The sequence below is a fragment of the Homo sapiens genome, chromosome 4 (assembly GCF_000001405.40).
Source record: "Homo sapiens chromosome 4, GRCh38.p14 Primary Assembly".
NCBI lineage: Eukaryota > Metazoa > Chordata > Mammalia > Primates > Hominidae > Homo > Homo sapiens.
Genome location: NC_000004.12, coordinates 40,678,237 through 40,691,704, shown reverse-complemented (window position 1 = coordinate 40,691,704; position 13,468 = coordinate 40,678,237). Strand labels below are relative to the sequence as shown.

The following is a 13,468-nucleotide window of genomic DNA, read 5'->3' as shown; positions in this document are numbered from 1 at the left end:
ATATCAACTTTATTGTGGTGGTCTGGAACCAAACCCACAAAATCTCCAAGAATGCCTGTATTTTTTTGCTTGCTTAAAGTTTGTCTCTCCCTGATCGAGACCATCCCGGCTAAAACGGTGAAACCCCGTCTCTACTAAAAATACAAAAAATTAGCTGGGCGTAGTGGCGGGCGCCTGTAGTCCCAGCTAATCGGGAGGCTGAGGCAGGAGAATGGCGTGAACCCGGGAGGCGGAGCTTGCAGTGAGCCGAGATCCCGCCACTGCACTCCAGCCTGGGCGACAGAGCGAGACTCCGTCTCAAAAAAAAAAAAAAAAAAAAGTTTGTCTCTCCCCACTAGAATGTAAACTCCTCGGGGGCAGGGACTTTGATTTGTTCCCTACCGTATCCTAAGCACCTCTAGGTGTTCAATAATCATTTGAAGGAATGAACAGATGAATGAATGAATGGATGAATGAAAGGTGGACTTGATGACCTCTTAAACTCCTTCCCCAGCTCACCAGCTGTAGTTGGAGAACCAGAACCAGCACTTCATGTTCTGCTACCTTGTGCAAAAGCTTCCTGGCCCCTTCCTTCGGGGCAAGTTCCAAAAATTGTGGCCAATCTCTCCCATCTTCTACTTCTTTCCCCATCTTAAGTGTCTATAAGGAACTATGCCAACCCTTCATCCAGTAGCAACTTTTCCAGTGCCAGCTACCTTCTCCCCAACTCCTGTGTTTTACCAGATGAGAAAGCAGGCCAGGGCAGCTGGGAGCCACTGGGGCTGGATTGGGAGCAACATTTGGTTGCTGTTGTCCAATTGCAGTGCACTGGAACTCCTCCAAGGACACAACAGAGAAGCTGCTGCCAGGTCTCCCCAAAGGCTGCATAGACTTCATCCCCACCATACAATGCCAGTCCTGTTGATAAATACAATGCCAGTCCTGTTGATAAATGCCCCTATATTGGTTGTAGCACAGAGGTGCAAACTACATTGAACACACCTGGTAAGTTACTTACTGTGTTTTTTTTTAGAGGGGGAAGCAGGCAAATGAGATTTTTAGTCTGTCTCAAAACATCAATATCTTCTTTTTGCAGGGAGAAAGTGCTGGGGAGGGGGAAGCAAAATATACAGAAAAGAGAGTGGATTAGGCACCAGAAGGTCTGGATTTGAATCCCAGTTTGTGAGTTGGTGTGTGCCACAGCCTTGGGCAAATCTCTTCCGTCTTCAGTTTCCCATCTGTAAGTAGAGATTAGAATTCCTGATCTGCTGGCCTTTCACGGATGTTGTAGGGATCATAAGATGATAATAGCTGCATACTTTGTGAACTATACAATACTATTCCTACATGGAGATTTTTATGAATAGAACCATAGTGGTGGCATCTCTCAAATGCCTGATGAAATGAAAGCATGATCTCTCTTCACCCAGTAATGAAAGTTCAACAGAGGTGAGGAAAGGAATCACTATACATTTTTAAATTTCGTATTTCTTTTTTTTCTTTTTTCAGAGTTGAGGTCTCACTCTGTCATCCAGGTTAGAGTGCAGTGGCATGATCACTGCAGCCTTGACCTCCTGAGCTCAAGCAATCCTGCCACCTCAGCCTCCCTACTAGTGGAGACTGCAGGTGTGAGCCACCAGGCCAGCTGGACTTTGCATTTCTATGGAAAATGACCTTTAGTCATTTATATTAAGTTAATAACAAAAAAATGGATTCATGCAGACATGGTGACTATTCGAAATTATGGCTCTGAAAAGAATTGACTTTTTTTTTGTTTGTTTGTTTTTGCAAAGAGTGGGTTTTGCCATGTTGCCCAGGATAGTCTCAAATGCCTGACCTCAAGTGATCCACTGCCTCACCCTCCCAAAGTGTTGGGATTACAGTTGTGGGCCACCTTTTTAAAGAATTTTCTTTAAAAAGAAAAAAGATTGCTTTGATTTTGTGTGTATGTGTATGTGTGTGTGCGCGCTCATTTGAAATAAGTGTTCATCCAGAAATGCTTTAAAAATATATTGCACATAGCTGAGCGCGGTGGCTCACACCTGTAATCTCAGCACTTTGGGAGGCTGAGGCGGGTGGATCACATGAGGTCGGGAGTTCGAGACCAGCCTGACCAACATGGAGAAACCCCATCTCCACTAAAAATACAAAATTAGCTGAGCATGGTGGTGCATGCCTGTAATCCCAACTACTTGGGAGGCTGAGGCAGGAGAATCACTTGAACCCGGGAGTCAGAGGTTGTGGTGAGCCGAGATCGTGCCATTGCACTCCAGCCTGGGCAACCAGAGCAAAACTCCGTCTCAAAAAAAAAAAAAAAAATATATATATATATATATATATATATATATTCCAGATAATCTTAACCTAAGCAAATAATTTAATTAAGATTGACATTTTAGGCTGAGCGCAGTAGCTCACGCCTGTAGTCCCAGCACTTTGGGAGTCCGAGGCAGGCAGATCGCTTGAGCTCAGGAGTTTGATACTAGCCTGAGCAACATGGCAAAACCCCATCTTTACAAAAAATACAAAAATTAGCCATGCATGGTGGCATACACCTGTGGTTCCAGCTATTTGGGAGGCTGAGGTGGGAGTATGGCTTGAGCCTGGGAGGCAGAGATTGCAGTGAGCAGAGATTGTGGCACTTGAACGGCCTGGGTGACAGAGCGAGACCCTGCCTCAAAAAAAAAAAAAAATTCAGAAATTAAAAAAAAAGATTGTCATGTTAGAGTACAATGTTATGAAAGAAAATGTCATCATGCTTGTTGAAGAGTATGAGCAAGACAGTACCCTAGTGTTCATTTGTCATTTGCAAGCATGACTTTACTGTGTATATCCAGAGAAATGGTGAGAATCGTTTACTGTTTATACGGGGAAGAGTAGGTGGGCATAGGTAAAATCTCAAATAAAAACCCTACAGTGAGTAGAATTAAATTATCTATATGTCTCTTCCCCACATTAAAAAGACTTGAGACTTATCAAAGAAAAAATCTAAAATTGCCTTGGGTGGTTGATTCTGAGAATGAGTCAGGTAAACCTGGTGTGCTGTGTGACACTGTAATGAAGTCTTCTGACTGCACTCCAATGTTCAGTTTCCAAAGCGTTTCCATCCAGCTTAGAACTGAGCCATGGCCTTGGCAACTTTATTCACGTACTTTGTGACTCAGTAGTTCCTTCTGCAGGATGTGAATGGAAAAGAGGGTGGACTCCTGCCTACAACATAGGCCTTGGTTACAGTATCCCTTTTGGTTAGCAGAGTTGATGAAACTAATTCAGTTGAAAGTAAATTGCTAAAATAAGAGCTTGAATTTGTCTGTGAATTTCAGATGTTTGTGTTATCCCTACCTACATAGCATGGAACTCCAACATGGTACTCCCCACCTAAACTGGCATGGCTGCAAGGATTTCTGAGAAATGAAGGGAGGTATGGATTTCTCCTGTTTTGCCAGTTAATGTTTGCCCACATTGGGAGGGGACCAGTGTGTATCTGGTAGTTCTGCCTGTGTCATTTGAGGTCATCATTTTGTCCTCTCAGGAGCTGAAAACACCACCCTTTAAACCTTCACCTTGACTCCTGGTTGCTCATACGTTTGGCAGCCTAGAGACCCATTTCCTTTCACGCATGTTTTAATCATGCAATACATGAAGCCTGGGAAATAAAATTTCCACATTATATAAATTGCAGTAATCAACTCTTGACAGATTTCTGCAAAATGTTTGTCGATAGCTTCCTTCAATGTCCTGAGACATTTTACAAAGAATCATTGTCAATGTTTCAGAGTGAAAGAAAAATGAGATAGTTATCTACATGATTGCTCCATTCTACTATTGCATGTGCTTGGACACCAACCAGATTTCTAACAGGGTTTAAAATGTCAGCCAGAATGTACTGAATCTATAGTAGAGGCTAAGATTAAATTTCCTTTGGTTTACTTAGATAAGCTGAGTTTGGGGTTAGTTTGGAAGGAAGGAGGGAGGAGTCACTGGTTTTAATAATATAATTCACTACCCTTTAATAAATCTGGTCTTACTTTCCCCTTTAGTCTGTTCCTTTCTGTGCTTTTTATCATAACCAAAGAGTTGGGTAATATTCTTTTTTTTTTTTTTTTTTTTTTTTTTTTTTTTTTTGAGACGGAGTTTTCCTCTTGTTGCCCAGGCTGGAGTGCAATGGCGCGATCTCGGCTCACCACAACCTCCGCCTCCCAGGTTCAAGCAATTCTCCTGCCTCACCCTCCCTAGTAGCTGGGATTACAGGCATGTGCCACCATGCCTGGCTAATTTTGTTTTTTTTTTTTAGTAGAGATGGGGTTTCTCCATGTTGGTCAGGCTGGTCTCGAACTCCCGACCTCAGGTGATCCACCCTCCTTGGCCTCCCAAAGTGCTGGGATTACAGGCGTGAGCCACTGTGCCTGGCCAGAGTTGGGTAATATTCAAATCTATAAATGGCATCTTCTTTGAAGAAGTTATTTAAATCAAAAAAAAAAAAAAAGGCTGGGCACAGTGGCTCACGCCTGTAATCCCAGCACTTTGGAAGGCCAAGGAGGGTGGATCACCTTAGGTCAGGAGATCAAGACCATCTTGGCCAGCATGGTGAAACCCCGTCTCTACTAAAAATGCAAAAATTAGCCGGGTGTGGTGGCTCATGCCTGGAGTCCCAGCTACTCGTGAGGCTAAGGCACGAGAATTGCTTGAACCTGGGAGGCAGAGGTTGCAGTGAGCCGAGATCATACCACTGCACTCCAGCCTAGGCAACAGAGAGTGAGATTCAGTCTCAAAACAAACAAACTAAAACAAACAAACAAAACTTAGCCAGGTGTGGTAGCAGGCACCTGTAATCCCAGCTACTCAGGAGGCTGGGGCAGGAGAATCACTTGAACCCAGGAAGCAGAGGTTGCAGTGAGCAGAGATTGCACCACTGCATTCCAGCCTGGGCGATAGAGCGAGACTCTGTCAAAACAAAAACAAAAATAAAAACGAAAATAAAAACAAAACCCACAAACTACCATGAAACGAAATTAGCCATTGAATCACATACATTTCTCTATCCCATGAGAAAATAAAAATGGAGCAACTCAAGCAATCCCTTCATACTCTCCCTAAATTAAACAAAGATGTAGAGTTCCCCACTGAAAATGAATTTGCTCAAATCAGACCTGAAGAGCATTACTTTGTTTGAAATTCAAACAGACACAGATGTTTTCTGTTTGATGAAAACAATTTCTACTCTTAAATTGCAAACAGGCTGGGCGTGCCGGCTCATGCCTGTAATCCCAACACTTTGGGAGGCCAAGGTGGGAGGATCGCTTGAGGCCAGGCCAGCCTGGGCAATATAAAGACACCCTGTGTCAAAAAAAAAAAAAAAAAAGAAGAAGAAGGTTGAAAACAGATATGCTAAGTTCACATGTCACTTTTGGGCCTCTTTGAGTATGCCTGGAAATGCTCCAGATTCAGCCCAGCCTGGCAACCAGCACAAGCTTTGGGGACATTTCTTGGGCACTGTCTATGGGGAAAGGTCTCAGATCTCTCTGCACCTGTCTTCCTGCTGATATTGGCAAAGCAGAGCCATGTTACTGAAGCTCTATGACTCTTTTTTTCTTTTTAAACAATGGCTGTTGGCAATATCTGGGCTCCCTTGTCTTCTGCCACGGAGATTTTCTTAGTGTCCAGGAGCTGCCAGTGGTCACTGGCCCAGCTTCTCTCCCTCCGCATAGGATCCTGGATTGAAATCCTGCTGACAAGAAGTTCATGTCTTCAGGTCAGGGTAAAGAATCACCATGCTTGTGTGCTTTTTAAAAAAATTTCTTTGGCCAGGTGTGGTGGCTCACGCCTGTAATCCCAGCACTTTGGGAGGCCGAGGCGGGCGGATCACCTGAGGTCAGGAGTTTGAGACCAACCTGACCAACACGGAGAAACCCCGTCTCTACTAAAAATACAAAAAATTAGCCAGGCGTGGTGATGCTTGCCTGTAATCCCAGCTGCTCAGGAGGCTGAGGCAGGAGAATCGATTGAACCCAGGAGGCGGAGGTTGTGGTGAGCCGAGATCACGCCATTGTACTCCAGCCTGGGCAACAAGAGCAAAACTCCATCTCAAAAAAAAAAAATTCTTAATTTTTCTTTTCATAAGAGATGGGATCTTGCTGTTGCCCAGGCTGGTCTCAAAGTCCTGGGCTCACATGACCTGCTTGCCTTAGCCTCCCAAAATGCTAGGATTACAGGCATGAGTCACCATACCCAGCCAATTGTGTGGTTTTAACTCCTAAGGAATCCCAAGTATCTTTCTATACAAGCATAATTATATGGATGGAACTGTGTATGTGGTGGAGGTGCTGTGACTTCACTGTCACACATAGACCATTTCCGTTTATTATTTACTTCATGAGCATAAAGCCATGGGAGGTTCATGACTATAGACATATGGACCTGGATGGGGATCTAAAGGTAAGTCTCAAATTTGAAATGTACATTAGCTACCTTTCAAAGATAGTGCTTGTCTATTCCTAGTGACCTCGAAAATATATAAGCAAAAAAACTGGATCTTTTACAAAAGGAGAGAGTCTTTCCTTCTGCATCTCCCATCCCTGTGGCCTTCCTTGGGAAAAAGTGGAAGCAGGGACCTAAATCTTCTCAGAATTTTTTTTTTTTTTTTTGAGACGGAGTCTCACTCTGTCACCCAGGCTGGAGCGCAGTGGCATGATCTCGGCTCAAAAGCAGTGATTTTCAAATGCTTTCCCAAACATCCACAGAAAGAAATACATTTTGTGACCCAGTTCCCAAATGGCATGGCTATGGAGGTGCATGCATGTGTGTACATATAAAACTGAAACAAAGCCTACAGACAAACACTGGCTCTTACTATTGCAGTGAATTCTGCTCTGTTTCATGTTTGGAAAACCTGTTGCTTGTGACCCATTGAATTGATTTTATGTGTCGTTTATCAGTAAGACACGATTCTGTGGCTTTACTTCATAGACTGTACCTGGCTTGCTTCATCATCTTCTTCCTGCCCCAAATATAGCCAAGAAAATTGTTTCTTAATATGGGACCCAGTTATAGCCTATAAAACAAGTCACTGGGCGCCCTCTTGGTTGCTGTTGTACATTATTAAAGGACTTTCCCCTGGGCAGACACATGTTCCCCAGGGGAGCAGATGCCCTTTAAGGACAGAGCTTGCATTGCCTCTTTTAAGCTGCTGGCTTGTCTTTTGGGTTCCCTTTCCATTGCCCTTCCCAAGTAGGAGAAATCAAAAAATAGTTGCAGACCAACCTGTTCCACTCTATGACCTTGGGCTAGTTGCTTAAACTCTTTGACCCTCAGTCCCTTGATCTATAAAATGAAAAAAATAATTCTACCTCACACGGCTGTTGTGAAAGATAAGTGATATATTACATGTGAAACTGCCTTCTCTACATTAAAGTCAATGTTAAGTATAATTATAATCTTACCTATATCACTATAGGCCATGACACTGGAGAATTAAATGTACAAATAACAAAGGGACCTGCTCTGAACACCTCATTAGTTTCTGATACTTCAACTCCCTGGTGTTTAATAAACTAACAAAAACATTAATACATTCTAAAAGCTGATCATTAAATAAACCTATTAACATCTATGTAAAGTTATATGTTGCTACCTAACAAGCTACCTTAAAACTTATTGACTTAAATTTATAGAGACAGAAAGTAGAACAGTGGTTACCAGCGGCTGGGAGGAGGAGGGAAAGGGGAACTATTGGTGAGTGGGTACAGAGTGTCAGTGTGAGATCATGAAAAAGTTCTGGAGATGGATGGTGGTGATGGTTGCACAACAATGTGAATGTACTTCATGCCATTGAACCACACACTTAAAAATGGTTAAAATGGTTAATTTTACGTTGTGTACATTTTGCCACAATAAAAAAGAATCATGGGCCAGGCATGGTGGCTCATGCCTGTAATCTCAACACTTTGGGAGGCCGAGGTGGGTGAATCACCTGAGCTCAGGAATTCGAGACCAGCCTGGGCAACAGCTGGTCTGAAATTAGCCAAGATGGTGGCTAATTTCAACATTTTGAAATACAAAAATTAGCCGGGCGTGGTGGCAGGCACCTGTAATTCCAGCTACTAGGGAGGCTGAGGCAGGAGAATCGCTTGAACCCCAGAGGCAGACGTTGCGGTGAGCCGAGATCGCGCCATTGCACTCCAGCCTGGGCAACAAGAGTGAAACTCCGTCTCAAAAAAAAAGAAAAAAGAAAAGAAAAAGTTCTGGAGATGGATGGTGGTGATGGTTGCACAACAATGTGAATGTACTTCATGCCATTGAACCACACACTTAAAAATGGTTAAAATGGTTAATTTTATGTTGTGTACATTTTGCCACAATAAAAAAGAAACACGGGCCAGGCACAGTGGCTCATGCCTGCCATCTCAACACTTTGGGAGGCTGAGGTGGGCAGATCACCTGAGCTCAGGATTTTGAGACCAGCCTGGGCAACAGCTGGTCTGAAATTATCCAGGCTGGTGGCTAATTTCAACATTTTGAAATACAAAAATTAGCCGGGCATGCTGGCAGGCGCCTGTAATTCTAGCTACTAGGGAGGCTGAGGCAGGAGAATCACTTGAACCCAAGAGGCAAAGTTGCAGTAAGCCAAGATTGTGTCACCACACTCTAGCCTGGGCGACAGAACCAGACTCTGCCTAAAAAAAAAAAAAAAAAAAAGGAAGAAAACACTTGGGGACCTAAAACCACAACGCTTTTCGAGTTAGAATTTTGGCCAGCTCATCTCTGCCCTATATGGTGTCTGCTGGGACAGTTCAACTGGGACCGAAGCATCCAAGATGGCCTCCTTTGCCACGCTGGTGCTGGCTCTTAGCTGGGATGCCTCTCTTTTCCTCCATGTGGACTCAACCTTCAAGGCTTCTTTCTCCACGTTGCTGCTGTCTACAGCTGGACAGCCTGAACTTCTTTACAAGGCAGTTGGGTTCTCAGAGAGAAAGCAAAAGCTCTAGATCTCTTAAGATCTGGGCTTGAAGTCCCATCACCTCTCAGTGGTTCAGGCGAGTCATTTTGCTGGTACGGATCCTGCGTGGGAGGGGAGGACACACGGGTGAATTCAGAGGGGCATGGTTCCTTTAGGGCCATTTTGTAACAATCTACTACAGCCTCCATGCCAATTTATTAGCATTTCTCCATGCTCTGCCTTATCTTGAATTCTGTTCTAGTACAATATCTCCAGATTAGCACATAGGGTCATTGTTAAGACGATGGACTTTGGCCTAAGGCTTCAAATCTTGGCTCTGCCATTTGTTGACTGTGAGACCTTTGGCCAGTTCTTTACTCTCTCTCTGTTTCAGTTTTCTTACCTATAAAATGGGGATGACAATAGTCTTTATGTCATCGTGTTGCTGTGAGTATTGAATGAATATGAATAAAAAGCTTAGTAACAGTGCCAGGCACAAAGTAAGAACTATATAAGCGTTTGCCATTATTGTTATTGTCATTGTCGTTGTTATAATAAACATAAGAAGCAGCATGGTGGAGAAGGGAATATTTAGAGCTAAATAAGACAGAAAGGTTGGAAACGCTTGGATACACAGGACCTCCCTGCCTCACAGAGTTCTCACTTACATCTAAATCCTTTGCTGACATTTAAGCTTCTTTCCTTTTGTTCTCTACACAGGAGACATGGAGAACAGCTGATCAACATCTCTCCATAATAATCCTCTGAACACCTGAAGACAGCTGTGAGAGCTTAAAGATTTGCTGAGGCTAATCTGGGTACAGGTAATTGTGTTGATGATATGTTCAAATGCATCTAAGTCTATGCCTGAGTATAGTTGCTGGGTTATAAACAGGCACGTCACACTTCTCTTATACACTTCAGGAAGCTGGAGCGCTGGGTCTTGTTTTCCCTGAAGGCATTAGGGAATGTGCCTGCTCTTTTTCAGAGCGTAAACCTGGAATAGGTTTCCAACGAGGACAATGCAAGCCAGGGCTGAGAGGTGCCATGTGTATGGCACACTGCTGGCCCCAAAGACCAGTTAGGCCAGGAACCAATCCTGTTGAACAGTTAATTAGCACCTATTGTTTATTACTGTGAGTTCTTTCTGAGCTTACCAGTGGCCCTTTTGCCTAATCCAATGGACACTTTTCTTTTTTCTTTTCTTTCTTTTTTTTTTGAGATGGAGTCTCGCTGTCACCCAGGGTGGAGTGCAGTGGTGCCATCTCAGCTCACTGCAACCTCTGCCTCCCAGGTTCAAGCTATTCTCCTGCCTCAGCCTCCCAGGTAGCTGGGACTACAGGCATGAGCCACCAAGCCCGGCTAATTTTTGTATTTTTAGTAAAGTCAGGGTTTTGCCATGTTGGCCAGGCTGGTTTCGAACTCCTGACCTCAGGTGATCCACCCACCTTAGCCTCCCAAAGTGCTAAGATTCAGGTGTGAGCCACTGCGTCTGGCCCCAGTAAGCACTTTTCTATCCTCAGCTTCATGGACAGCCTTGCTGCATTTGCCATCTTGTCTTATTTTGGAGTGAAGCAGTACATTGTGATGTATTGGAGCCAGAATGCCTGGATCCAAGTCCTAGCTCTGCCCTTTGCAGCTCCATTGACCTTGAGCAAGTTACTTAACCTTTGAGTTTCATCATCTTTATCTCCATCTATAAAATGGGACTGATAATAGCATGTTGTCATAAGGTTGCTTGAAAATTTTTAAAGCTATTTTTTTAGCACAGGGGAGGAAAACAGTAAAAATTCAAAAAAAATTTAAAAACCTCTTCTCCATTGACTTCTGGAACATTTGGTTCTTCTCTTGACTGTTGGAGCAGTCCTTCTGTTTCTTTTGCCAGCCTTCTTCCACTCATCCATGAAAAACTGGTGGTTCCCCCAAGATTCTGTCTTTGATCCTCCCCTCTTCTCATTTTGTATAACTTTCCTATGTGATTTCTGCCCTTGGTCTTCCAAACCGTTGTGCCCTGATGCCTTCCAAACCTTTATCTCTAGGCTTTTTTCTTTGTAGACTCCTTTGTCTGGATGGTCCAAGTTTCCTTAAATTCAAAGGTCTAAAGCCAGAACTTCCACTCTTGGCTATAATGGGGTAGTAATTGGTATAAGACCAGCCATCCCACCATTAAAACACACACACACACACACACACACACACACACACACACACACCTGTAATCCCAACACTTTGGGAGCCTAGGTGGGCAGATTGTTTGAACCCAGCAGTTGTTTTTGTTTTTGTGTGTGTGTTTTTTTTTTGAGACCGAGTCTCGCTCTTGTTGCCCAGGCTGGAGTGCAATGGTGCAATCATCTTGGCTCACCGCAACCTCTGCCTCCCAGGTTCAAGCAATTCTGCCTCAGCCTCCCGAGTAGCTGAGATTACAGGCATGCACCACCACGCCGGGCTAATTTTGTATTTTTAGTAGAGACGGGGTTTCTCCATGTTGAGGCTGGTCTTGAACTCCTGACCTCAGTTGATCCACCCACCTCAGCCTCCCAAAGTGCTGGGATTACAGGCATGAGCCACCGCACCCGGCAAGCCCAGGAGTTTAAGACTAGCATGGTCAACATAGCGAGACCCTGTTGCGCATCCTGTGGTCCCAGCTACTTGGGAGCTGAGGTGGGAGGATTGCTTGACCCCAGGAGTTCAAGGCTGCAGTGAGCTGTGATTGTGCCATTGCACTTCAGCCTGAGTGACAGAGCGAGACCCCATCTCAAAAACAAAACAAAACAAACAAAAAAAACCAAGTATTAGTCAACTGTTTCAGGAATTGGCCAGGAGAGAGTACAAGTCTCTGGTCCCTGAGGGAAAAGAAACTCATCATTTTGTTTGTTTGTTTGTTTGTTTGTTTTTTGAGACAGAGTCTTGCTCTGTCGCCCAGACTGGAGTGCAGTGGCGCAATCTCAGCTCATGCAACATCCACCTCCTGGATTCAAGCGATTTTCCTGCCTCAGCCTCCTGAGTAGCTGGGATTACAGGCGCCTGCCACCATGCCTGGCTAATTTTTTGTATTTTTAGTACAGACAGGGTTTCACCGTGTTAGCCAGGATGGTCTCAATCTCCTGACCTCATGATCCGCCCACCTCAGCCTCCCAAAGTGCTGGGATTACAGGCATGAGCCACCGCGTCCGGCCGAGAAACTCATCTTTTTTAAGCCCCAGAATCATTCTGGCTCTTTACCTGGGGGGCAATTTCCTGGCATCCAAGTAGGAAAAGGAGAACTTAACTAAGCTGAGGAGGCAGAGTACAGAGTTTCGGGCAGCTGAGCAGCTGGAATCTGCTGGTTAGAACACTGGAGACAGGAGCTTTGCAGAGGAAGGACTCCAAAAAATCCTCGTGGGGGTGTCCTCTGAGCACTTGGTTAAGAGCTGTGTTGCACATTTGAAAGGTGAGACTACCCAAGGATGACCAGGTACCAGCTTCTGTGCGGTGGAAGAAGCTGAGCAGAGATTGAGTTCAAGCAGCAACGGAGGGGGCGGGCATTAGTTATGGCTCAGCCTGAGTGGGAAAGCACTCTAACACTTTGTTAATGACACTCCAGGCATCCAGCTGGGACATCGAAGAGTTCACGTCTTAAAAGTAAGGACCACGGCCGGGCGGGTGTCTCGCGCCTGTAACTCCAGCACTTCGGGAGGCCGAGGCGGGCTCAAGCTTGAACTTGAGCTCTTGAGCTTCAGCTCAGGAGTTTGAGACCAGCCTGGGCAACATGGTGAAACCCCATCTCTACAAAAACTACAAGTAGCCAGGTGTGGTGGCATGTGCCTGTAGTCCCAGCTACTCAGGAGGCTGAGGCAGGAGGATTGCTTGAGCCTGGGAAATTGAGGCTGCAGTGATCCCTGATCACACCACGGCACTCCAGCCTGGGTGATGACAGAGTGAGGCCCTGTCTTAAAAAAATAAATAAATGAAAGTAAGGATCATGGTCTACAGCAATATTTCTTAAATTGCTGTCCCCTGACCAGCAGCATCAACATAACCTGGAAATTTGTTAGACGTTACTGTTGGAAATGCAAATTCAAGGGCCCCACTTCAGACCTACTGAATCAGAAACTCAGGAGAAGAAGCCCAGAAATTTATGTTCTAACAATAGCTCTTCAGATGATTCAGATACAAACTAAATTTGAGGCGACTGTCCTAGAGGAAGGCCCACACTAGACATGCCCTAACAAAGCCTAAAACTACGCCTTGACAAAATCCACAAGGGAAACAGAGCTCGAAGGTTGGAAAAATATCTTGAAATTTCCAAAGATCTACCCTAACGAAGTTAAAAGCAAAACAAACAAAAAACTCGTATGCAAGCTCAAAGTGACCAGGAAATAACTGACCTGCCTATTGGAACAAAAATAAAGATAACAGAATCCAAAATTTCTACAACGTATTAGCTGTAGTGTCCAGTATTACCATAAAACATTACTAGACATGCAAAAAAAAAAAAAGGAAAAAAAGAAGAAGGAAGAAAGAAAATAAAGAAAAACAAAAGTAGTCAAAGAAATTGACCTGATCCTGAGACTA

General features: G+C 44.3%; 2 annotated features.

Annotated features, from left to right (window-relative positions):
- Window positions 4,514-4,563: an enhancer, noted in NCBI's record as "active region_21497". NCBI's record gives its function as "activates an Ori minimal core promoter by ATAC-STARR-seq in GM12878 lymphoblastoid cells {active_cell/tissue: GM12878}" and the evidence as "EXISTENCE:reporter gene assay evidence [ECO:0000049][PMID:35858748]".
- Window positions 7,727-7,826: an enhancer, noted in NCBI's record as "active region_21496". NCBI's record gives its function as "activates an Ori minimal core promoter by ATAC-STARR-seq in GM12878 lymphoblastoid cells {active_cell/tissue: GM12878}" and the evidence as "EXISTENCE:reporter gene assay evidence [ECO:0000049][PMID:35858748]".